Source organism: Homo sapiens, chromosome 16 (assembly GCF_000001405.40).
Source record: "Homo sapiens chromosome 16, GRCh38.p14 Primary Assembly".
Taxonomy (NCBI): Eukaryota; Metazoa; Chordata; class Mammalia; order Primates; family Hominidae; genus Homo; species Homo sapiens.
This window is the reverse complement of record NC_000016.10, coordinates 84,543,929-84,567,683: the sequence shown is the minus strand read 5'-3', so window position 1 is coordinate 84,567,683 and position 23,755 is coordinate 84,543,929. Positions and strand designations below refer to the sequence as shown.

The window sequence follows — 23,755 nt, the reverse complement described above, 5'->3', positions numbered from 1 at the left end:
TTGCTGAGCCCTGTAGCCCCACAGCCTGGCGTGGTATTTGTTGAAAGAAGGCAGAGCCTCTACCCTCGTGTAACTCAGTGCGGGTGGAGAGCCCATGGCAGACCCAGGACTGGAGGCTCCTGCGTCATTAGGAACATTGGTGGCTGAAGCTTGCTTGTCCCAGCTGGCGAGAGCCAATTACGCCTGTCTCCTTCCACCTCCACGTATGGTGACATCACTTTGATAGCTTGACGTCAGCCACTGGGGGACTATTTACATCATGGATATGGGCAAAAGACACCAATCTGAGCTTTTGTCCTTTTCTTTTTTTTGGAGTGCCTGCACACCCGTGAGCCTTTCCAACCTCGTAACCTATTATTTTCCTGACGAGATAGTTTTTTACAGATGAGAAAGTTGAGGCACAGAGAATTGAAGGGACTTGGCCAAGGTAACAGCCCAAATTCAAGCCCCAGCTTCCTCGGGCCATCCCCACGGACATGGGAAGACGCAGCATCAGATCTGCCCCACTCCCTCCTCCCAGTCAGGTTTTTTCTGCCAGATGACTCTGCTGTTCAATTTCCATTGACTCTGCTGCTGAATTTCCATTGACTGACTCTGCTGCTGAATTTCCATTTCCATCTCTCATCAGGGTTTTCAGTGCTTTGCTTCCCAGTGTGTTGCCTGAGCCACCCTCACATCCTGTGCCTTCCTTCTTAATAGGAACGCTGTGTTTTCCTTTGTTCTTGCAGAATTTCGCTAAGGAGTTTGTGATCAGTGATCGGAAGGAGCTGGAGGAAGATTTCATCAAGAGCGAGCTGAAGAAGGCGGGGGGAGCCAATTACGACGCCCAGACGGAGTAACCCCAGCCCCCGCCACACCACCCCTTGCCAAAGTCATCTGCCTGCTCCCCGGGGGAGAGGACCGCCGGCCTCAGCTACTAGCCCACCAGCCCACCAGGGAGAAAAGAAGCCATGAGAGGCAGCGCCCGCCACCCTGTGTCCACAGCCCCCACCTTCCCGCTTCCCTTAGAACCCTGCCGTGTCCTATCTCATGACGCTCATGGAACCTCTTTCTTTGATCTTCTTTTTCTTTTCTCCCCCTCTTTTTTGTTCTAAAGAAAAGTCATTTTGATGCAAGGTCCTGCCTGCCATCAGATCCGAGGTGCCTCCTGCAGTGACCCCTTTTCCTGGCATTTCTCTTCCACGCGACGAGGTCTGCCTAGTGAGATCTGCATGACCTCACGTTGCTTTCCAGAGCCCGGGCCTATTTTGCCATCTCAGTTTTCCTGGACCCTGCTTCCTGTGTACCACTGAGGGGCAGCTGGGCCAGGAGCTGTGCCCGGTGCCTGCAGCCTTCATAAGCACACACGTCCATTCCCTACTAAGGCCCAGACCTCCTGGTATCTGCCCCGGGCTCCCTCATCCCACCTCCATCCGGAGTTGCCTAAGATGCATGTCCAGCATAGGCAGGATTGCTCGGTGGTGAGAAGGTTAGGTCCGGCTCAGACTGAATAAGAAGAGATAAAATTTGCCTTAAAACTTACCTGGCAGTGGCTTTGCTGCACGGTCTGAAACCACCTGTTCCCACCCTCTTGACCGAAATTTCCTTGTGACACAGAGAAGGGCAAAGGTCTGAGCCCAGAGTTGACGGAGGGAGTATTTCAGGGTTCACTTCAGGGGCTCCCAAAGCGACAAGATCGTTAGGGAGAGAGGCCCAGGGTGGGGACTGGGAATTTAAGGAGAGCTGGGAACGGATCCCTTAGGTTCAGGAAGCTTCTGTGTAAGCTGCGAGGATGGCTTGGGCCGAAGGGTTGCTCTGCCCGCCGCGCTAGCTGTGAGCTGAGCAAAGCCCTGGGCTCACAGCACCCCAAAAGCCTGTGGCTTCAGTCCTGCGTCTGCACCACACATTCAAAAGGATCGTTTTGTTTTGTTTTTAAAGAAAGGTGAGATTGGCTTGGTTCTTCATGAGCACATTTGATATAGCTCTTTTTCTGTTTTTCCTTGCTCATTTCGTTTTGGGGAAGAAATCTGTACTGTATTGGGATTGTAAAGAACATCTCTGCACTCAGACAGTTTACAGAAATAAATGTTTTTTTTGTTTTTCAGAAAACAGTTTGGTTTCTGATTTGTCCTACAAAGTTCTTTTTTTTTTTTTGCTGTAATAACAGAGGCAGTCATCATCGCCTTCAGATTTAATAGGTGTTTGCGGAGCTGCTGAGGCGGGGCACATTCACATTCAATTGCTTATTTAATTCTTAGCAACCATAAGAAACAGGTGCTGCTTTTGTCCCCATTTCCTGAAATCTGAGGCTCAGAGGGATTCATTCACCCGAGGTCACCCAGATAGAAAGTGGCAGAGCTGGGATTTTTTTTTTTTTTTTTTTTGGTGACAGAGTCTCACTCTGTGGCCCAGGCTGGAGTGCAGTGGGGAGATCTCAGCTCACTGCAACCTCCATCTCCCAGATTCAAGAGATTCTCCTGCTTCAGCCTCCATAGTAGCTGGGATTACAGGTACCCGTCACCATGCCTGGCTAATTATTGTATTTTTAGTAGAGATGGAGTTTCGCCATGTTGGCCAGGCTGGTCTCGAGCTCCTGACCTCAGGTGATCTGCCCGTCTTGGCCTCCCAAAGTGCTGGGATTACAGGCGTGAGCCACCACACCCGGCCAGAGCTGGGATTTGAACTGAGATCTCTCAAAGTCCCTGGTGCTGTGGCTTGTGAGGGGAGCGGGGAGGCCACACATTTGGGATAGCGATGGGACCACAGGTAGTGATTCTTTTTGAGTGGCCAGAACTCCCCTGTCTGCCTGTTTAGGAAAAGCCAAGAGAAAGCATCTTCCTCGTTGGCCATGACATCCTTTCTGAGGTTATCCTACAGCTGAGAAACTGGACTTCCAGCACACCAGACCCTGTGGGAGCCCAGAATCAGGGCAGAGGAGTTTCAGACACAGACAGCGGGGCTTGGAGGAGCTGAGTGTGGGGCAGGGAGAGTGCGGAGAGAGGGCAGAAGCCGAAATCAGGGCAGGAAGGAATCCTACAAGGTATGGGCAAGGCCCTGATCATGCTGCCCAGGGTGGCAGGGGGCCATAGGTCACCACCCTCCCCAGCCCCAGCCCGCCCCAGCCACGTCTGGGTTCTAATTTCTGCTCATCTGTTCACAGCTGTGTGGATTTAGGCAATTTAGTTAACCTCTCAGCCTCGGTTTCCTCATCTGCAAAATAGACAACATTGCCTACGTGTAGAAAGGCTTAAGGAGCAGCGAGGATTGTGCAGGCAAAGGGCGCCTGTCAGGGTGCAGTGTTCTTATCTCACGCCTGCCACTGGTCTTGTTAGCTCTGTGGGCTTCCGTCTTTTCCTATACCCAGAGCTGAGGGAGCTAAACTAGGTCCGTTCCCAGTGCACGGGTTTTAGCTCCGTTCAGAACATGGGCTCAGTAGGTGCATGACTTCATGTCACTCATGCACTGCGTCCCGCAAGCCTTCCATCCTCTCCTGGAATCTCCTGGTCGGCCAAGCCCTCCTCCAGGCCCACTGCCCACCCCACTCCCTGCCCCAAAGCAGACTAGAAAGAATGAGCAGCTCTCAAATCTGCCCCTAGGCCTGTGGTCTCATCCCTGGCTGTGAATTAGGATCACTGGGAGCTTTGAAAATACAGATGAGGCCTCTATCCCAGACTAGTGAGTGAAATTGGAGTGCCAGACTCAACGAACGCCAGCTTTTCCTTTCCAGACAGCTGCAGAAGTGGCCCTGATCCCGGGCAGGAGGGGCTGGAAGGGAGGCCTGCCTCTCCCTCTGTGGGTTCCTCTCGTGAGTGGAATCTTGTTTGTTTTCATTTTGTTAGTTTTGAGACAGGGTCTCACTCTGCCACCCAGGCTGGAGTGCAGCGGCACAATCACAGCTCACTGCAGTCTCCATCTCCTGGGCTCAATCGATCCTTCTGCCTCAGCCTCCTGAGTAGCTGGGACTACAGGTGTGCACCACCATGCCCAGCTAAGTTTTGTATTTTTTTAGATAGGAGGTCTCCCTATGCTGCCCAGGCTGGTCTCAAACTCCTGGACTTGAGCGATCCTCCCACCTCAACCTCTCAGAGTGTAGGGCTTACAGGCGTGAGCCACTGCACCCAGCCATGACTGGAATCTTGAAGGGCAAGTGCAGACAGGTTTATTGAGCACCTACTATGTGCCAGGCACTGGCCTAGGTATGGGGATTTGATGATGAACAAACTCAGACAGCCCCCACCCTCAAGGAGGCTGAGTCTAGCAGGGATGATGGATATTAATCAGCTTGTCCCACCAGAGGGTGTGTGTTTCCAGATGAGGATAAGTCTCCTTCAGAGAAAAAAGCCCAGGTTCCATGAGAGCTCACAAGGGCCCTGGATCTGGCTAGGGTATGGGGGAGGGCTTCCCTAAGGAGGTGGTACCTGAGCTGAGAACGCGGGGAAAGGAGGGGAGGAACAGGAAAGCGTGGACATAAGCTCCATGGAATGTTTGCCCACGGGTGAGCCAGGGTCTGAAGCAGCTTGTTCGTGTGTCAAGGAGCTTGGCTTTAACTTGAAAACTGCAGCTTGGGCCTTTGCTGGGGATCCCAAGGGATCATGAGACCACTGAAGGCAGAGAAACCTTGCCTTTTTTTTTTTTTTCTGAGACAGAGTCTTGCTCGGTCACCCAGGCTGGAGTGCAATGGCGCTATGTCGGCCCACTGCAACCTCCGCCTCCTGGGTTGCAGCGATTCTCCTGCCTCAGCCTCCCCAGTAGCTGGGGTTACAGGTGCCCGCCACCATGCCCAGCGAATTTTTGTGTTTTTAGTAGAGACAGGGTTTCACCATGTTGGCCAGGCTGGTGTCTAACTCCTGACCTTGTGATCCACCCACCTCGGCCTCCCAAAGTGCTGGGATTACAGGCGTGAACCACCACACTCAGCCCTATTTCTCAGCTGTGCCAGGTGTTTATACCCCAGAGGTTATCTGGGGCTGGTGAGGGAGTCCAGGCCCAGGGTGCGGCCCTGGCTGGGGGAAAGTTCCCGTGCAGCTCCTGCCCTGAGGATGGGCTGCCCTCGTTGAAATCTTTCTGTTCCCCATTTCTTAGTGAACCATAAAAGAGAGAAACAAGAAGCAGAAAATGTGCATAGTCCAAGTGATGTAGAAAGAATTTTTTGAAAGAACCAGAAACGGCCGCGGCCACCAGATGACTCAGTAAGAGACAGTAGGCAGCACAGCCGTGGCTCAGAGCTCAGCCTTGGGCTCAGGTTTGAGTCCGAGGTCCGTGGTTCACCCGCCAGATGACCTTGGCCAGTAGTGTCACCTCTCTGAGCCTCAGTTTCCCCCTCTAAAGATCACAGCACTTCCCTCATGCATTTATTACAAGGACTAAGTGAGCTGAGCCTTGCCAGGTGCTTAGCGTGATGTGATCTGTTAGATTCCGATGGGGACTCTGCACAGTCCTGGGGGACCATCCTCGTTTGGAGCAAGGGCTGTGGCCATGAACAGCTCAGGCCTAACCCCGAGGCAGTGACAGAGCCGTCTGATCCTTCTACCCCTGCTTGTCAGTGTCGCCGCCCGTGGGCTGCTGCTACGAATCTAGGGCTTGGCTGGCATCACTTTGGGTACACAAATGTCTCCACCTGGGCAGGGTCTGGGAGGGAGCAAAAGACATGGCTCTTCGATCCCTGTTGGGAAGGTGGGGCTGGGACTGGGAGCCAGCACAGTGTGAGGGGAACGGTTGGAACCCGAGTTCCCCGCCTACAGGCCGTGTGACCTTAGGCAGGATGCTTGCCTCCTCTGAAGAGTTCCCAAGGTAAGTCACACAGCTATACGAGGTTCAGCCGGGCAGGGATGTACCAGTCTCTTGCAAGGGGGGTCACCAAACGTTTGTGAAGAGAAATACAGCCTACCACACACACCTAGGAAACAGCTGAGCCAGGATTTGAACCCAGGCAGTGCCGGGTTCAAGCATCTTTTCATGAGGTCATGCTGTAGGATTTCACAGAAGTGAATGAATGAGTGAGCCCTAACATTCTGTGCAATGGAAAGAGACTGGCTAGTCTGCCGGGGTCCTCAGCTGCCTCATGGACCAGGACAACAGCACTCCCCAGCACTCCCTCAGCAGGTGCTCCCTGCAGGCTGGAGGAAGGATGGAGCAGGAATTTCAGTAATCCAGGTTGCTATCCAAAGAGGAAGAAGGACCAGGCGGCCAAACTTCACCATGGCCAGGTGTCCCAACAGCATAAAAACAAAAGCTAGCCAGGCGCAGTGCGCACACCTGTAGTCCTAGGTATTTGAGGCTCAGGCAGGAGACACCTTGAGCCCAGGAGTTCTGGTCTGCGGTGCACTGTGCTGACCAGGTGGCATCAATACAGTGAGACTTCCTGGGAGCGAGAGAAGCTTGGGTTGCTTTCAGCTCCGAGATTCCTCCCAGCCTGACAGATGAGGCACCTGCAACATTCCATTTTTGTTTGAATGTAAATGAATTCCTTTTTTTTTTCTTTTCTTTTCTTTTTTTTTTTTTTTTGAAGCAGAGTCTCCCTCTGTTGCCCAGGCAGGAATGCAGTGGCACGATCTCTGCCTCCCAGGTTCAAGCGATTCTCCTGCCTCAGCCTCCCAAGTAGCTGGGATTATAAGCACCCACCACCATGCCCAGCTAATTTGTGTGTGTGTTTTGTTTTGTTTTGTTTTGTTTTGTTTTTTGCAACGGAGTCTCACTCTGTCGCCCAGGCTGGAGTGCAGTGGTGTGATCTCGCCTCACGGCAACCTCCGCCTCCCGGGTTCAAGCAATTCTCCTGCCTCAGCCTCCTGAGTAGCTGGGATTACAGGTGTGCACCACCACGCCTGGCTAATTTTTGTGTTTTTGGTAGAGATGGGGTTTCACCATGCTGGCCAGGTTGGTCTCAAACTCCTGACCTCAGGTGATCTGCCCACCTCGGCCTCCCAAAGTGCTGGGATTACAGGCATGAGCCACCACACCGGCTAAATGAATTCTTAAGGCATGAAACTAAGGGAAAAATATTTTTTAGAGCTTTTTTTCTTCAGGATTATGCCTTAATTTTGAGCCTTTCCTTGCCCATCAGAACAGTTCATCCTAAATTAAGAAAAGAATTTCACCTTTTTCCAACAGCAGCTCCATGTTAGCTTTTTGCTACCCCTCACCCACTCAGCATCCTGTGGTCAATGGCAAACTTCCGGAAGGGCTGGAGGGGCTCTGCGTGTCCCTCTAGCCAGGACCTTGTCCACCTTCCTCCTCGCATGCCCGCATCCGGGCCCTGACATCCTTCCTCTACTTTTCTGAAGGCTCCTCTCTTTCCCTCTAGAGAGAGACTGGTCTCTGCTGGTCTGCCTCTTCTAGAAGGTTCCCTGTGTCCTGTGAAGTGGGCTGAATCATGGCTCCCAAAAGATTTGTCTGTGCCCCAGAACCTGTAAATGTGATCTTATGTAGGAAAAGGGTCTTTATAGATATAATTAAAGATCATCCTGGATTTAGGGCAGCACCTAAATCCCGTAACAGGCATCACAGGGAGATTTTAGACAGAGACAAGAGGCAAGAGAGATGAGAGATGAGAGACAAGAGAGGCGGACACGTGAAGGCAGAGGCAGAGATTGGAGTGAGGCCTCTGCAAGCTTGGAGCCACCAGGAGCTAGAAGAGGCAGGAAGCTTCCCCTAGAGCTTCCAGAGGGAGCATGGCCCTGCCCACACTTTGATTTTTGAATTCTGACCTCCAGAATCGTGAGAGAATATCTTTGTGTTGTGTTGAGCCCCCGGTGTGGTGACTGACTGTGGCAGCCATGGGGAATGAGTCCGCCCTCTTCCCTCCCTCCTCCAGTTGCTTCTCCCCTCCCCCACTAACTGTGCGCCTCTCTGGGGCAGGTGCCCCATCCCAGTGCCTGGCGTGAGGCCTTGTACACAGTAGGTGCTCACTAAGTGGTCAGTGAATCAGCTTCAGTGGAGTTCCCCAGTCTGAAAGGGGAGGAGGTGGGGCCCTGCCCAGCTCTTTGAGCCACACCCAGAATCCATACCTGCTCAGATGGGGCTCGGACCTAGCCTATGCCGAACTAGGCAATGAGACCAGACGCCTTTCTGGCTTTCTCCGCCTGGGTGCTGGCTCTTGCCTCTGGCTCTGCCCCAGGGCTGGCCCTGGAGGACAGCTATCCCGTGCGCCTGTCCACCTGTCTGGCTCTTCCAACCCAGCTGCTTGACCCCGTTACCCTGAGTCCTCCACCCTTTTAATCGTCTCTGAGGGAGTCTTAAGATACCGCTACCAGGAGGGGGCTGTGGAGGCTGCCGTGTGCTCCAGGCTTTGGGTTCTGCCAAGTGCTCCCCAGGTGCGAGGTGTGGGACTTTGAATCCCTCTGGGTGGGGCAGGAGAGGCAGGTGTTGCCCTAAGGCTAAAGGCACACCAGGAAGTCTGGGGCAGGGGCTGTTCTATCTGCCTGTGCTGGGAACGTGTTGAGGGAGCTGCCACTGCAACTGGGGGATAAGCGAGTAAAGAGGCCCCTTTGGGCCTGGAGTGGTGGCTCATGCCTGCCATCCCAGCACTTTGGGAGGCTGAGGCAGGAGGATCGCTTGAGCCTTGGAGTTCGAGACCAGCCTAGGGAACAATGAGAGACTTTATCTCAGGGGAAAAAAATAGAGATGGGATCTTGCTATGTTGCCCAGGCTGGTCTTGAACTCCTGGGCTCAAGTGATCCTCCTGCCTCAGCCTCCCAAAGTGGTGGGATTATAGGTGTGAGCCATTGTGCCCGGCCAGAGACCCCATCTCTACGAAAAATAAAAATAAAATTAGCTGGGCATGGTGGCATGTGTCTGTGGTCCCAGCTACTCAGGAGGCTGAGGTGGGAGAATTGCTTGAGTCCAGGAGGTCAAGTTTGCAGTGAACCATGATCGCGCCACTGCACCCCAGTGTGAGCAACAGAGCAAGACCCAGTCTCAAAAAAAGAAAAAGAAAAAGAAAAACCCCTTTGAACTGAAGGCTACAGTCCATGGGTTATTTCTGGTAAACCTGAGAGAATGAGAGAGCAGGCACTGAATTCTTTGCTCCTTGGTTCATCCCCAGCAGTTCCCATGTCCGGTGTCACTGCGGAGGACAGGCCACACCACTGCGTGCACGCACAGGCAAGACAAGCTGTGATGGCTCTATTAAACCCCAGAACATAAAGGCAGGTATAAAAGGCAGCTTACAAAGTGATCGGGGAACAGTGATAACACTTGTGCTAAATTTCCAAACAAAATCCTCAGACCTTGGTTTTGAGTAGGTCCACCCGAGCAGAGATGCATCGGGCACAATGAAAACGAGAGGTGAGCCCTGGGAGGAGGGTGGGAGGAGGGTGGGAGGAGGGAGGGAAGAGGGGAAAGACAGTGCTGGAGTGGAGCTTTGCTGTGTCTTTCTGGGCTCATGTATTTTTTAAAAAGCTGAAGGAAATAAGTAAGATGTTAGCATCTGGGTAACAAACCTTACAGATGCATATAGTAAGATGTTATCATCTGTGTAATGGGTAGGTGGAAATTAGATAATTTTCCCTAGTTTTCTGTCTTTTTGGAGTATTAAAGTTAAGAAACGTTTTTTAAACACAGAAGGGAATTCATGTAGTACATATCAGTCAGAGGGAGGAATGTCAAACTGCTCACCTGGAACAGGTGATTTGGTTTAAAATACACCTGTTGGAAGAGTCGGCAGGATGCTAAGAAGAAAGTAATGAGGGTTCTTACAATGGGTCAATTAAGATCAGAGAGGATAGATTGCTGCTCAATGCACGAGTTCTGAGTATGAAGATTCAAACACTACCACAATGCAGCTGGTTGCTGCTGAGAACCAAATTCGTTGTCTGAAAGGTCAAGAGACTGAAGCTCCCAGTGCCCTCCTGTAGACTGCCTCCCTCAGCCCGGGAGCATTCACTGCCCAGGCCCTCGTTTCCTATACCCCTGTCCCCATCCCCCAGCCTCCTCAGATGCCTTCCACCTGGGTGCTGGCTGCCTCTGGCTCCCCGCAGTCCCTATCATCCCTAGTAGAGCCCAGGGCTGCAGCAGGGGCATGTCTTATACATCTGTCCAGCTCCTCCAGCTCCTGGCCCAGTGCCTGGCAAACAGTGGGAGCCCAGTAGCTGCTCACTTAATATATGGATGCCACCTAAATGAGTTCATACCACAAAGAGACCAGCAATCCCTCGATCCCATCTCCAGGTTGGCTTTTAGAACCGTGCTTCTCAAAGGCTGTCCCCAGAAACCACCTACAGCAAAACCACCCTGTATATTTATGAAAATGCAGGTTCCTGGGCACCGCTCCAGACCCCGTGAGTTTCAGTCTTTGGGGATGGTCCCAGGACTACATTTTAAACGAGTTTACCAGATGATTCTTAGATATTCTTATGAGAATATCTTTACAGAGGATAGAGCCTAATAAGGCTTTTGTTCCAGTGTTTGGAATGCATGGTCTGGGGACCCAAGCACTAGCGTCACCTGGATACTAGCTTAAACAGCACATTCCACAAGACCTATCCCAGGCACAGCCAGGGCAGGTAGTAATCTGTGTTTGAGCTAACTGTCCAGGGCCATGCTGAAATACGTTGGAGTTTGAAAAGCATTGCTTTTGGCCACAGTCCTACTCTCTTCCTTTTTGCTAGAAAACGAACTTTGATTTCATTTTAGAAGAATTATTGTTATTATTTTTTGAGACAGGGTCTCACTCTGTTGCCCAGACTAGAGTGCAGTGGCTCGATCATGGCTCACTGCAGGCTCGACTGCCCAGACTCAAGCGATCCTCCCACTTCAGCCTCCCAAGTAGCTGGGACTACAGGCGCAGGCCACCACGCCCAGCCTTTTTTTTTTTTTTTTTTTTTTTAATTTGTAGAGACGGGGCTTTGCCATGTTGCTCAGGCTGGTCTCCAACTCCTGGGCTCAAGCGACCTGCCCATCTTGGCGTCCCAAAGTGCTGGGGTTACAAGTGTGAGACACTGCGTTCAGCCATTAGAAGAATTTTTGGAATGAACTTAAATTTTTTAATTTTATAAGTATTTACATGCCATCAAAAAATATTGAGAAAACACAGAGATAAAGAAGATGAAAATAAAAATGACTTTATACCTCTCTGAGGTTACTGTTGTCACATTTGGGGGTGCAACCTTGCAGACTATTTTGAAAAATTTTAAGTTCTGGGGTACATGTACTGGATGTGCACGTTTGTTATATGGGTAAACGTGTGCCAAGGTAGTTTGCTACACCTATCAACCCATCACCTAGGTACCAAGCCCAGCAGGCATTAGCTCTTCTTCCTAATGCCCTCCCTCCTCTCTTTTTGCAGACTTTTTAATGCAACGTGTACATCTTTATTTTCAAAAACTAAGATTATGCTCTGTTTATATTTTTGTAATGTGCTTTTTTCACATGTCAATATATTGTGAACACCTTTTCACATCTATGAACGCTATTCACTATTTTTGGTGGCTTATATTGGTTAGTTGAACAATAATTTCTCTAGCCAGACCTCTACGGCTGGATACTTAGAATTGGAATTGGCACACTGGTGACAAGCCAAATTCGGCCCCCTGACATTACAGGACTACACACACCTGGCTGCGCAGTGTGCAGTTTACTGTAGGGAGCACTCCACACTGGAACAAACATGAAACCGACGTCCTCGGAGTCGTGCAGGGCATGACTTGCACAACAGCGCCTGGAAGTCCCAGTCCGAAGTTTGGATTGGGTGCTAACATTTAAAGATGCAAAGGTTTCACCTAAAAATCTAGCTTTCAGCTTTTCTTGACAAACCTGAAGATCCAGTAACCTTGGGTTTACATTCCTGCGGAGTAACAAGGGGCTATGATTGAGCTGCAGCTGCCTGCGTGGATGGGGGCAGGGGGAGGTGCACTACCCAGGGCCCTCCAGCCCCCAGCTACCCAATGAACCTCCCTGCCGTCCTTTCCTTAGCTCCTTTACGTTGTCTGTTCGCTTCCTGTGAGCATTTGCTTTTGCCACCCCTGGGTGACACTGTTAAACGTCTGCTGAAGGAGTCATTCTTCAAAGTCACAATAGTCTGCAGAGAGAAGTTGCTTCCTTTATTTCATTCAAATAGCCCAGATGGGGAGTTGCTATGGCAACTCTGGGACCATATTGTAGATCGCTTCAGGGAGGATCACAGAGCATCCTCCAAGAAGCAGGCCCTCCTCCCCCGAGCCCGCCTCCCACCCTGGCTCCACGGGTAGTAACTTCCAGCATGGATGCGGTCCCAGTTGCTACTGAACAGAGAATAAAGAGGCATGCTTGTAGAACAGAATGTTGGCTCTGAAATGGCACAGGGGTCACTGAGTACCACAGGCTCCGGTTCCTTCCCTACAAAGCATTCCTTTTACTATTCACCTCCCCATGCATTTTATATTTTGGGACAATTGTCTTCCAAACAAACTTGATTTAGGAAGCACAGATTTGTTTTCTTATTTAAAAATAAAATCAGAATGAATAGTGGCAGCCAATGTCATCAAGTGGTTCAGCAAATAGGTTCTAATCCTGGCTCTGTCATTTACTTGCTGTGTGACCTTGGGCAAGTTATAAAACCTCTCTGAGCCTCAGTTTCATCACCTTCTAAACGATAATAGTAACGACAGTCCTAATCATATACGGTTGCTGTAAAATACCTGATGCAGAGTAATGCACGATGCTCTCAGCACAGTGCTTGGCAAGCAACAGCCACTCAAGGCAGAACAGCCACTAAGATTGTGATGATCAATAATTACCAGAGTGCGAGCTTCGCAGGAGTGAATCTGCTCAGCTATCTGAGGTTAAAGCAGAGAAACTTGATCCCGATACTATGTTTAAAGACCACAAGGTCACCCAGGAAACCTAGACCGGGGACCAGGTCAAGGTGTCAAGGCTTTCGCTGCAGCTGGAGTGGTGATAAAGTTTGTATACTTGGCCCTGCTCAAATCTCATGTTGAACTGTAGTCCCCAGTGTTGGAGGTGGGGCCTGGTGGGAGGTGACTGGATCATGGTAGTGGATTTCTATTTTTTTTTTTTTTTTTGAGGCAAGGTCCCACTTTGTCACCCAGGCTGGAGTGCAGTGGCGCCATCTCAGCTCACTGCAGCCTCCGCCTCCTGGGTGGGGTGGATTTCTCATGGATGGTTTAGCTCATGCCCTTGGTGCTGTCGTTGTGATAGTGAGTAAATTCTTATGAGATCTCGTTGTTTAATTGTGTGGCACCTCCTCGCCGCCTCTCTTTCTTGCTCCTGCTCACGCAATGTGAGCTCCCTCTTTGCCTTCTGCCACGATTGGGAGCTTTCTGGGGCCTCCCCAGAAGCAGATGCCAGTGCTATGCTTTCTGTACAGCCTGCAGAACCATGAGCCAATTAAATCTCTTTTCTTATAAAGTGTCCAGTCTCAGGTGTTTCTGTACAGCAATGCAAGCGTGGCCCAGCTCAGACAGTGAACATGGCGTTGGACCTTGTAGCTTGATTCTCTCCCACCTCCTGGGCCCCAGTCTGAGTTCTTGGCCTCCCGTGGTGTAGTCCCCATCCTAGGTAGTGACTCTTGGTACTCAGCATCCATTCCCACTTCCTTCCAGGGCTTTCAACACTGAAAACTTAAAATGAATTACCCAGACTCTCTGACATCCGGGGTTTTGGGGGCACATTTGGTTGTGACAGTTAAGCACGTTCACATGAGATTTGGAAGACAGGAGGGAGGCAGAAGCATCTCTCAGTGGCCCATTTTCTCTTGGCAGGCAAGGTTGTGCGGATATGAGTGTCCAGTCTCCAGCTTCGTGGGTGCCTGGAGGCAGGTGCGGAGGTAGGTGCGGAGGCAGCTGTGGGGCTCCGATCCCTGGGGTGCAGCTCTGAGGGTGTGCTTGGCTCAACGGTCCCTCGGGAAGGTTTCTGATTCTCCGTATTCCTGATCATGGCAGCCTTGCTGGTGAGTCGGTTCTGCAGCATCTGGGGGGTCCTTACAGCCCTCCATCCAACCCGTCAGTTTCGTCAGCATCGAACACCTTGTGTTCAGTTGTCTTCTGCCTGAAATGCTTATGTAGGGAAGGAAATTGTTCATTTTCCTCTACCCATCTTAGGTTCCTTAACTGAGGCCCTGTGAAATGACAAAAGATTGAGGCTGCAATGAGCTGTGACAGTGCCACTGCACTCCAGCCTGGGTGAGAGTGAGAGCCTGTCTCAAGACATATTAACTAGAGAAAAACCAACAGAAGTTTATTAACATGTGTGTCACAGATACACCCAGGATCACCCACTGACAAGTAACTCCAGGGGTGGTGAGAACTTGAACTTGCATTCCACCTCAACCAAAAAAGCAACTCATCTGTACAGAAGGGACAAGACCAAAAGAAAAAAAGAGAAGGTCTTGAGAGTTTCTGGGGCAACAGAAGATTGGGGGAAGGCAAAGATGGGGAAACCGATAGAAGATAAGGGCCAGTTAGCAACATTTGTTGCGTAGATTCCTGTGGTGCCATCTGGGCAGTAAGGGTCTAGGGCTGTGTCTGGTGATGAATTTCTGCCCTTCCTGGTAGAAAGATGGCCAGGAGGCACTGTTAGAAATATATGTCCTGCTTTTAGGGCCAGGCATGGTGGCTCACGCCTGTCATCCCAGCACTTCGGGAGGCCAAGGTGGGCAGATCACTTGAGGTCAGGAGTTCAAGACCAGGCTGGCCACCATGGTGAAACCCCATCTCTACTAAAAACACAAAACATTAGCCGGGCATGGTGGCAGGTGCCTGTAGTCCCAGCTACTCAGAAGGCTGAGGCTAGAGAATCGCTTGAACCTAGGAGGTAGAGACTGCAGGAGCTGAGATCGTGCCATTGCACTTCAGCCTGGGCAACAAGAGTGAAACTCCATCTCAAAAAAAAAAAAAAAGCTGGACATGGGGGTATGCACCTGTAGTCCCAGCTACTCGGGAAGCTGAGGCAGGAGAATCACTTGAGCCTCGGAGGAGTTTGCATTGAGCCGAGATCACGCCGCTGCACTACAGCCTGGGCTACTGAGTGACACTCTGTCTCAAAAAAAAAAAAAAAAAAGAAAAAAAGAAATCTATGTCCTGCTTAAATAGGGTAGGGCAGAGCTTTTCCTTCATCTGCTTCTTCTCAACTGTCTTCAGCTCAAAATAATCCTGATGCCAGAATGGCATATTTTGGGGTGGCCTAGTCTGTGACCCTCTGGCAGAATAGAATCATTCCTACTTTGGGCACCAAGCCTGACTTATACCACCCTGCTGGGAACCCATCCCTGCTGCCTGGTGTGTGAGCCCACCCCGCTCCATCCTCTCCAGCTCTTGACCCTCAGCCTGATTCAGGTCTCAGGGGTGCTGCTGACCTCCAGTGTGGACAGTCCCTCTACCCTGCCGCTGTCTGCACAGAGGTATTTGGGCCCCTCTGAGAGAACAGAGCATCGGGTGTGGTTCTGGGTCCTCACCACGCTCTGATTTCTAGACCTCTCACTTAACAATGAGGAAGTTCAAGAGTCACTAAGAAATAGTTCAAAACTGAAAAATAACAAGTCTGGGCTGGACACAGTGGCTCATGCTTGCAATCCCAGCACTTTGAGAGGCTACAGAGGGAGGATCACTTGAGCCCAGGAGTTTGACACAAGCTGGGAAACATAATGAGGCTCCCCATGTCTACAGAAAAATAAAGATTAGCCAGATGTGATGGTATGCACCTGTAATCTCAGCTACTTGGGAGGTTGAGGCTAGAGGATCACCTGAGTCCATGAGGTTGAGGCTGCAATGAGCTATGATGGTGTCATTGCACTCCAGCCTGGGTGACAGAGTAAGACCCTGTCTCAAAACAAACAAACAAACAAACAAACAAAAAACAAAACAAAAGATGAGCTGGCTTGAGAATTTCTCCCAGTGAGGGGGAGGCCAGTCAGGGGGGACCAGCTTTCCTTTATGAACCTTAAAAATTTAGTGATTACATTGTGAGCTTGTTTTAAATTTAATGTTTCAATCTTTTTTTTTTTTTTTTTGAGACAGAGTTTTGCTCTTGTTGCCCAGGCTGGCGTGCACTGGTGTGAGCTCACTGCAACCTCCGCCTCCTGGGTTCATATGATTCTCCTACCTCAGCCTCCCGAGCAGCTGGGATGACAGGTGTGCACCGCCATGCCTGGGTAATTTTTGTATTTTTAGTAGAGACAGGGTTTCACCATGTTGGCCAGGCTGGTCTCGAACTCCTGACCTCAGGTGATCCACCCGCCTCAGCCTCCCAAAGTGCTGGGACTACAGGCGTGAGCCACTGTACCTGGCCCTTAATCTTTTTAACTGTGAAAGTAATACATATTCAATGTAACTAATTTTAATAATACAGAGTATATAAAATAAAAAGTGAGAATTCTGCTTCATACAGCCTCCCTTCTTTGAGGTACTTGCTATTTATAGTTTGGTCTATATTCTTCCAGACTTTTCTTTGTGCATGTACACATACACACACTTGTACAAGAATGCATAGATTTCTTTTTTTTTTTTTTTTTTTTTTGAGACAGAGTCTCACTCTGTCGCCCAGGCTGGGGTGCAGTGGCATGATCTAGACTCACTGCAACCTCTGCCTCCTGGGCTCAAGTGATCCTTGTGCCTCAGCCTCCTGAGTAGCTGGGACTATAGGCACCCACCACCACACCCAGCTAATTTTTTGTATTTTAGTAGAGATAGGGTTTCACCATGTTGCCCAGGGTGGTCTTGAACTCCTGAGCTCAGGCAATCTGCTTGCCTCGGCCTCCCAAAGTGCTAGGATTACAGGTGTGAGCCACCGCACCCGGGCCATGCATAGATTTTTTTTTTTTTTAACAAAATGAAATTTTATATATGTAAGTGAAATTGTACATATACAATTATACATGAAATTATATATATATAATAGGTATATGTGTAGTTTTGCAATTACATCAAGGAAACTGATGAAATTGCATCAATTATTTGCATGTCGTTAACAACACCTCAAGGAAAATGTTCATATAGAGATATCTCATTTATTGAAAAAGTCTCCAGTATTTGAGATTATGGAGATGAACTAGTCCCCTGTTGACAGACACTGTTGAGGCTGACGTCTATACCCCATAAAGGATCCTACCAACGTGATGGGGGTATCACTCTGTGATTAGATTAGAGTGTGTTTTATGACATTGTTGACTTTGAGAATGGGAGATGACCCTCAGTGGGCCTGACCCAATCAGTCGAGCCCTTAAAAGGGCTGGGATTCTTTCTGACAGGGAGATTGTAAGTAGGAGAGGGATTTGACTTCAGGGAACAGGGAAATTCTCCATTGTTGCGGGGGGTGGGTCAGAAAGGCCTCCAGGAGGTAAGGATGGCTCATGGCTCTCACAGTTGGGAAATACGGGAACCCCTGTCTTAAAGCCACCAAGTGATCTCAGAAGAGGCCCTTGGGCTCCAGGTGAGAATGCAGTGAGCTGGCACCTTGATTTTGGCCTTAGGATGCCCTGAGCAGAGAGTCCAACCGTGCTTGTCCAGACTTCTCAACTGCAGAACTGTGACATCACCAGTGACTTGGGTGTTTTTATGGGGAGGGAAGAGTGTTGTCTGAAGTCATCAAGTTTGTTGTACTTTGTTACACAACAAAAGAAAACTGGTAAGGCATTCCTATGGTTTCCAGCAATTGCGCTTTTAAGGAACACTTCTGTCTTGAACCTCCTTTCACACAAGTCTTTATTTCAGAATTTCTGTGGGGTGGATTTCTAAAAGATTTTTGGGCTAACCATTTAAATTATCGATGTGTGCTGCATGAGCAGTGGCTCATTCCTGTCATCGCAGCACTTCGAGAGGCCGAATTGGGAGGATCACTTGAGGCCAGGAGTTTGAGACCAGCTGGGGCAACAAAATGAGATCCCCGTCTCTACAAAAAATAAAAATTAAAAATTAAAACATAAAAAAGGACATTATGGATGTGAATTACCAAATTGTCCTCCCGAAGCCACGTGTTGATTGACAGTCTGCCCCCTTTCCCCTGCCCTCACCAACAATGGATATGAGTCATCTTTTTTTAACTGTGGTAAGATACACGCGACATAGGACTTACCATTTTAACTATTTTAAAGTGATCCAGTCCGTTGCATTCAGCACACTCACGATATTGTGCCACCCCCGCTGCTCTAGCCCCAGAACTTTCCTGTCACCCCAAAAGGAAAACTCGTATCAATTAGGCAGTCACTCCCCACCCCCTCCCTGGCCCCCGGCAGCCACTCATCTGCTTTCTGTCTCCTATCATTAATCTTTTACTTGTTGCCAATCGGATACACAAATAGGGGCATTTATTTCAAGCTGCTCTGATGACAGGATGTGCACACAGCTCTCTCTTCCTGGAACTCAGACAAGCGCATGTCCCGGTTGCCGACAGAACGGCCCCACCACAGGTCAGGGCTCCGGACGCATGGACACATTCTCTGCCTTTCCTGCTTCTCCCAGCAGGCCCTGTCTCTGCCACCTCCCCATCAGCCCCGTGTTCTCCAGCTTGAGACCTTGGCATGTCCTTCCTCCATCCTCCTGCCTCTCCTCCTCCACCCTCTGTATCACTGGTGGCTGATTCTAAGTGGGCAAGGCCTCCTGCGTCTCAGCCTGCCTCCCTGCTCGGTTGAGACTCTCGTCTGGCATGGGGTTGGCTGCCCCGGGGCATCTCTGGGCAGGGGACTGGGGATCCAAGGCCTCCGGGGCCTGGCAAGTACGGGGAGGAGGGCTGGAGGCTGGGCACCAAGGAGACAACAGGGAGAGGTGGGGACTGTGGCCAGGGGAGGGCGCGTGTCTTTCTAAAGAGGGCAGCTGCATGGTGACTGTGTGCTCCCAGATTTTCTTATTTTCTAAAGGAGTCCTAAATATAGATATTTATATACAAGTGATTGACATTTCATCAAAACAAGCACATTCTCATTACCCTGGCCAACCAACACGGAGGAGTCGGGGTGGTGGAAGCAGGCAGCCACTCGCCCCACAGGCTGGCTCCGTGTGAGAGGCGAGGCGTGGAGACAGCAGGTCTCCAGGTTGCTGGAGGCTTGAAAGCCTGAATAGATGCACCCGGCTGCATCTCCAGGTCCCCAGGCTCCTGCCAGGCCAGGCTCTTTGTGGATTCTAGAACATTCTCTTCAGCTGCCTGAGCCCCTGTGGCTGTTTCCATGGCCCTGCAGGGTCTGAGGGAAAAGTGAGCCCTGTGCTGCTTTTTTTTTTTTTTTTTTTGAGATCGAGTTTCACTCTTGTTGCTGCCCAGGCTGGAGTGCAATGGCACAATCTCGGCTCACCGCAACCTCCGCCTCCTGGGTTCAAGTGATTCTCCTGCCTCAGCCTCCTGAGTAGCTGGGATTACAGGCATTTGCCACCACGTCCAGCTAATTTTGTGTTTTTAGCAACGACAGGGTTTCTCCATGTTGGTCAGGCTGGTCTCAAACTCCTGACCTCAGGTGATCTGCCTGCCTCAGCCTCCCAAAGTGCTGGGATTACAGGCGTGAGCCACCGCGCCCAGCCGTGTGCTGCTGTCTTTAGAGCCTCTCGAGGCCCCGCTTTCGGCTGAGCACCCCCCCCCCTCCTATGTGACATGGAGATGCCCCAGGCCTGGGATTGTCCCCGTGGATTTGCGAGCATCTTGGGCAGATGCTGTGGGAGGGCCTGACCTCTCCTGCAGGGTGAATGAACTGTTTGTGTATGTGTGTGGGTTGGGCGGGTGGGTGCTGGGTTATTCCTGGGCTGACAAAGAGACCCCAACCCCAAAGCCCAGCCTCGGGAAGCAGGCTCAGCCCACCAGCTGTCAGGGAGGGATCCCGGGCTGGGGGAGTTGGAGGGGGCTGTCAGACAGAAGAAAATGTTGCCTCCCACAAGCCCCTGGGGGCCTTCAAACCCGGCCCCTGCTGAGATGTTTTTCTAAAAGGCTCTTCGTGGCAATAGCCATTAGGCCCAAAGGTCTGCAGTTGATACGACCTTAGGGTCTCAGGTTTCTTTGAGTCTCAGGTTTCTTTGACGTGTGGAAAGGCATTCCCTCTGGGCCTCCATGGAGCCTACAGCCTAAACAGGGGCCCCTGAGCCACAGCGCTGCTGCTGCAGAGGAGTTGGCTGGGTCTTCTGGGGGTAGGGGCAGGACAGAGGGAAGCTTCTGTTTTCACTTGGGACCTACGGAAAAAGCGCCGTAGTGGGAACTTTGGTGACATCATTCTCTCCTATGAGAGGCGGCGTGGTTAAACCATTTTACACAACAGGAGACTGAGGCTCAGAGAGACGAAGCTGGTTGCCTGAGGAGGTGGAGGAGCTGGGATTTGAACTCGTCAGTGAGCTGGACAATCTGGTGTTTCCCCTCTTCCCTCCTTGCTTTCCTCCCTTTCTTCCTTTTCTCTCTCCCTCTCCCCCTCCCCCTTTTCTCTTCCGTTACTCCCAGAACCGTCCACCGTGGCCTCTTTACATTCCAAGCTGGATTTTCTCCTGATCGCTCCAGTTCTCGAGGCGAAAAGCAAAGTCAGTGCTATGCAACAAGGCCGGCTGTGGTTGTGCCCCCAATGTCTCACTGGCTTCGTCGCCCACCACGGTCCTCATTTATTCTGTTGCAGGCCCTCGGGTCTCCTCGCTGGGCCTCCTGCTCACACAGCACCATCCTGCCTCAGGGGGACTCCTGCTGTGCCTGGAGCCCACTGACCTCTAAGTACCCATGCTGGTCCCTCATTCATGCAGCTCCCTGCTCAATGTCACCTTAGTGGAGTAGAATGTCACCTTGCCCTGACCCCATTCTAAAACAGCACCTGTGTCTTTTCGAGGTCCCCGAGCCCCACTTATGTTTCTTTGTAGCACTTATCACCACCTGATACCGTGTGTCTATTCGCTTGTTCATTGCTGTCTTTCCCCGCCAGAAGACAAAGTGTAATCTCCAGAGGGTAATCTCCAGTAGAGCAGAGACTTCATTTTGATCGTCGTTACTTGCTCAGCACCAAGAACAGTTCCAGGCATGGGGCAGGTGCTCAATAAAACTCGTTGAATGCATGACTCTGTATCTGTATCTATGTCTATATAGATAAATAGCTTAGCTTTATTTATTTATTTATTTATTTATTGAGACATGATTTTGCTCTGCTGCCCAGGCTGGAGTGCAGTGGTGCCATCACGGCTCACTGCAACCTCTGCCTCCCGGGTTCAAGCAATCCTCCTACCTCAGCCTCCTGAATAGCTGGGACTACAGGTGTGCACCACCACGCCCAGTTACGTTTTTCTATTTTTTAGAATAGAAATCTGGGATTACAGATTTGAACCACCACACCTGACCAGCATTGTATTTTTTTAATGCAGACAGTTCTGTAACTTTTTTTTTCATGTATTAGTCTGTTTTGGAGACCTTTATACTTCACTGCATATAGACTGGCTGTCCTCAACCACGGGCAATTTTGCCCCCAGGGAACACTCGGCAATGTCTGGATGCATTTCTGGGTGTCACACCAAGGAGGCTGGTGCTACTGGCATCTGGTAGGTAGAGCCAGGGATACCGCTAAACCTCCTGCAATGCACAGGACACTCCCCCCCCCAACCACAAAGGATGATCCAGCCCAAATGTCACTTGTACCCATGTTGAGAAACCCAGATATAGACATAGCATTCTTTCTTATGGTAACAGATTCCATAGTGTAAATGTACCATCATTTAACCACTCACTTACTGATGAGCATTTTAGGATATTTCCAATTCTTTACTGTTGCAAACAATGCTGCAAGGAACATCCCTGCATAAGCATCCATGCCTCTTCATGCACATGGGCAGGTATTTCCCGAGGACAGATAGCCAGCAGAGGGTCAAAAGAGGACGTGCACCATGTTTTATTTTTTATTTTTTTTGAGATGGAGTCTCGCTCTGTCCCAGGCTGGAGTGCAGTGGCGCGATCTCCGCTCACTGTAACCTCTGCCTTCTGGGTTCAAGTGATTCTCCTGTCTCAGCCTCTAGAGTAGCTGGGATTACAGGTGTCTGCCACCATGCCTGGCTAATTTTTGTATTTTTAGTAGACACGAGGTTTCACCATGTTGGCCAGGCTGGCAAACTCCTGACCTCAGGAGATTCACCCACCTCGGCCTCCCAAAGTGCTGGGATTCCAGGCGTGAGCCACCGCCCCTGGTCAGGACATGCACCTTTGACATGGAGACAGCCTCTGTCAAGTCGCCCTTCACACAGGCTGTAACCAAAGCACACTTCCAGCACAGCATGGCAGGGGTGCCAGCTTCCACCATCTGTGCTGTGGGTGATGGCTTTGAGACCTTCCCCAGGGGCCTCTCAACACAGTGCACTTAATCAGAGGGAGACTTGTCCTGAGCATGGAGCGAAGGCAATCCACTTTTGCTGTTTCTCTCTGTGCCAGCTCCTCCCCACCCTTCTCTGTGACACTTCAGATCCCAGCTCTGCCACTTATCGTCACCTCACCTCTCCGTGCCTTAGTTTCTCCATCTGTAAAATGGAGCTAACAATAGCAACTTCTGCTCAAGGAGAGTTGGGAGAATTACATAAGTTAATACTTGCAAAAACTTTCAGGCCGGCTAAGCAGTCCTCGAACATGAGCTATTATCCTGTGACATTCCTCCAGAGACAGCAGCGTGCATCATCTATAGTGCCGAAAATTGGAAGCAGGCAGGTGTCCCCCCTGTAACGGAAACACCAAGTGCTTTGCACGGCACCATGAAGCAGCGTGATATCCAGGCTTTAAAAATAATCCCAGGATTCAGGCTCAGGGGTCAGCCAGGAGGAGAGGACACCCGAGAATAGCCCCGATGGAATGCAAATCCTGAATTTACCCAGGAACTGGCCAAAGGGGCTTTTGAGCCTGAACGAGGTCAATTATCCTAAAGTGCCACCTTTCCGAGTTTTCTACTACTTCATAAGCACACGGAGTGCAGTTAGAAATTGAATTTCATTTTTGCACATTTAAACGAAATGATCCTGGGGACTCTGGGGCACAGAGGAAATGCCCAGATGGTGTGAAATGAGGGTGTGTGCAGCCCCTGATGCCCCCGGCCCAGGTTTCAGGCCTCCAGGCCCCTTCGTCTGCTTTATTTTCTTTGCAGGAGTCTCGGGCTGCAATGACATGGTTTGCTTCGGGTTCTCCGGCGCCGCCTGCCTCCTCTGTCAGATGCCGGTGTTCGGGGGTGGCTTCGTTGGCTTCCTTCCTTCTCTGTTCCAGACCTAAGAGGATGCCTGGGCCCTCGTGGGTGCTCGGCAAACAGGTGTTCCGTTCCCGTTGTAAAATATTGGCAGTGTGACAATGACTGCGGGGGAGTGTGGGGGCAATTCCGAACTGTGTGTAGATCAGGCTTCATGACATAAAAAGTGGGGAAAGTTGAGATGAGCTGTACACAGATTTCTCCAAAGGTCAAACTGGCACCTCCATGAGTTACGTGTACAGAAGTAAAAAGAATCTTTAATAAATCCAGAAAGGGAAGGTAGGGGACGGCCGAGGCCAGGGCACCAGGTAAGCAGGAAGGTGGCGTGAACGCTGTTTGTAATGAATGTTCCCCTTGGGGACACCTGGCAGGGAGGACCCTGTGCACACATCCCAGAGTGCTCTGGGAACCCCTAGGAATCCATTATAAGGACAAGACAGCTATTTAATTTCCCATGAGTCATATTTCTTTTCCAGTGTTTTTATAAGAGTTAATGTCAGAGGCTAGGCCAGGCGCAGTGGCTCGCGCTTGTAATCCCACTCTGGGAGGCTGGAGCGGGGGATCACTTGAGCCCAGAAGTGTGATATCAGCCTGGAAAACATGGCAAAACCCTGTCTCTATGAAAGAAATTTTTTTTAATTAGCTGGGCGTGGTGGCATGCCTGTAGTCCCAGCTACTCAAGAGGCTAAGGTG

The 23,755-nt window shown here is 50.6% G+C and overlaps 1 protein-coding gene across 1 annotated transcript in view, besides 9 other annotated features; it reads left to right on the top strand.

Annotated features, from left to right (window-relative positions):
- COTL1 (coactosin like F-actin binding protein 1) overlaps window positions 1-2,088 on the top strand; it is a 52,483-nt gene extending 50,395 nt beyond the window's left edge. Inside the window, exon 4 of the mRNA NM_021149.5 lies at window positions 729-2,088. Coding sequence (NP_066972.1) covers window positions 729-839 — 111 coding nt within the window. The 3' untranslated portion in view covers window positions 840-2,088. The remainder of the gene's footprint in view (window positions 1-728) is intronic.
- Window positions 4,928-5,695: an enhancer, noted in NCBI's record as "H3K27ac-H3K4me1 hESC enhancer chr16:84595595-84596362 (GRCh37/hg19 assembly coordinates)". NCBI's record gives its function as "activates a minimal SCP1, AML or CMV promoter by ChIP-STARR-seq in naive H9 embryonic stem cells {active_cell/tissue: H9 hESC(naive)}" and the evidence as "EXISTENCE:reporter gene assay evidence [ECO:0000049][PMID:30033119]".
- Window positions 5,696-6,463: an enhancer, noted in NCBI's record as "H3K27ac-H3K4me1 hESC enhancer chr16:84594827-84595594 (GRCh37/hg19 assembly coordinates)". NCBI's record gives its function as "activates a minimal SCP1, AML or CMV promoter by ChIP-STARR-seq in naive H9 embryonic stem cells {active_cell/tissue: H9 hESC(naive)}" and the evidence as "EXISTENCE:reporter gene assay evidence [ECO:0000049][PMID:30033119]".
- Window positions 7,528-8,045: an enhancer, noted in NCBI's record as "H3K4me1 hESC enhancer chr16:84593245-84593762 (GRCh37/hg19 assembly coordinates)". NCBI's record gives its function as "activates a minimal SCP1, AML or CMV promoter by ChIP-STARR-seq in naive H9 embryonic stem cells {active_cell/tissue: H9 hESC(naive)}" and the evidence as "EXISTENCE:reporter gene assay evidence [ECO:0000049][PMID:30033119]".
- Window positions 11,756-12,256: an enhancer, noted in NCBI's record as "H3K4me1 hESC enhancer chr16:84589034-84589534 (GRCh37/hg19 assembly coordinates)". NCBI's record gives its function as "activates a minimal SCP1, AML or CMV promoter by ChIP-STARR-seq in primed H9 embryonic stem cells {active_cell/tissue: H9 hESC(primed)}" and the evidence as "EXISTENCE:reporter gene assay evidence [ECO:0000049][PMID:30033119]".
- Window positions 18,043-18,792: an enhancer, noted in NCBI's record as "H3K4me1 hESC enhancer chr16:84582498-84583247 (GRCh37/hg19 assembly coordinates)". NCBI's record gives its function as "activates a minimal SCP1, AML or CMV promoter by ChIP-STARR-seq in naive and primed H9 embryonic stem cells {active_cell/tissue: H9 hESC(naive and primed)}" and the evidence as "EXISTENCE:reporter gene assay evidence [ECO:0000049][PMID:30033119]".
- Window positions 19,544-20,294: an enhancer, noted in NCBI's record as "H3K27ac-H3K4me1 hESC enhancer chr16:84580996-84581746 (GRCh37/hg19 assembly coordinates)". NCBI's record gives its function as "activates a minimal SCP1, AML or CMV promoter by ChIP-STARR-seq in primed H9 embryonic stem cells {active_cell/tissue: H9 hESC(primed)}" and the evidence as "EXISTENCE:reporter gene assay evidence [ECO:0000049][PMID:30033119]".
- Window positions 20,295-21,046: an enhancer, noted in NCBI's record as "H3K27ac-H3K4me1 hESC enhancer chr16:84580244-84580995 (GRCh37/hg19 assembly coordinates)". NCBI's record gives its function as "activates a minimal SCP1, AML or CMV promoter by ChIP-STARR-seq in primed H9 embryonic stem cells {active_cell/tissue: H9 hESC(primed)}" and the evidence as "EXISTENCE:reporter gene assay evidence [ECO:0000049][PMID:30033119]".
- Window positions 22,536-23,035: an enhancer, noted in NCBI's record as "H3K4me1 hESC enhancer chr16:84578255-84578754 (GRCh37/hg19 assembly coordinates)". NCBI's record gives its function as "activates a minimal SCP1, AML or CMV promoter by ChIP-STARR-seq in primed H9 embryonic stem cells {active_cell/tissue: H9 hESC(primed)}" and the evidence as "EXISTENCE:reporter gene assay evidence [ECO:0000049][PMID:30033119]".
- Window positions 23,036-23,537: an enhancer, noted in NCBI's record as "H3K4me1 hESC enhancer chr16:84577753-84578254 (GRCh37/hg19 assembly coordinates)". NCBI's record gives its function as "activates a minimal SCP1, AML or CMV promoter by ChIP-STARR-seq in naive H9 embryonic stem cells {active_cell/tissue: H9 hESC(naive)}" and the evidence as "EXISTENCE:reporter gene assay evidence [ECO:0000049][PMID:30033119]".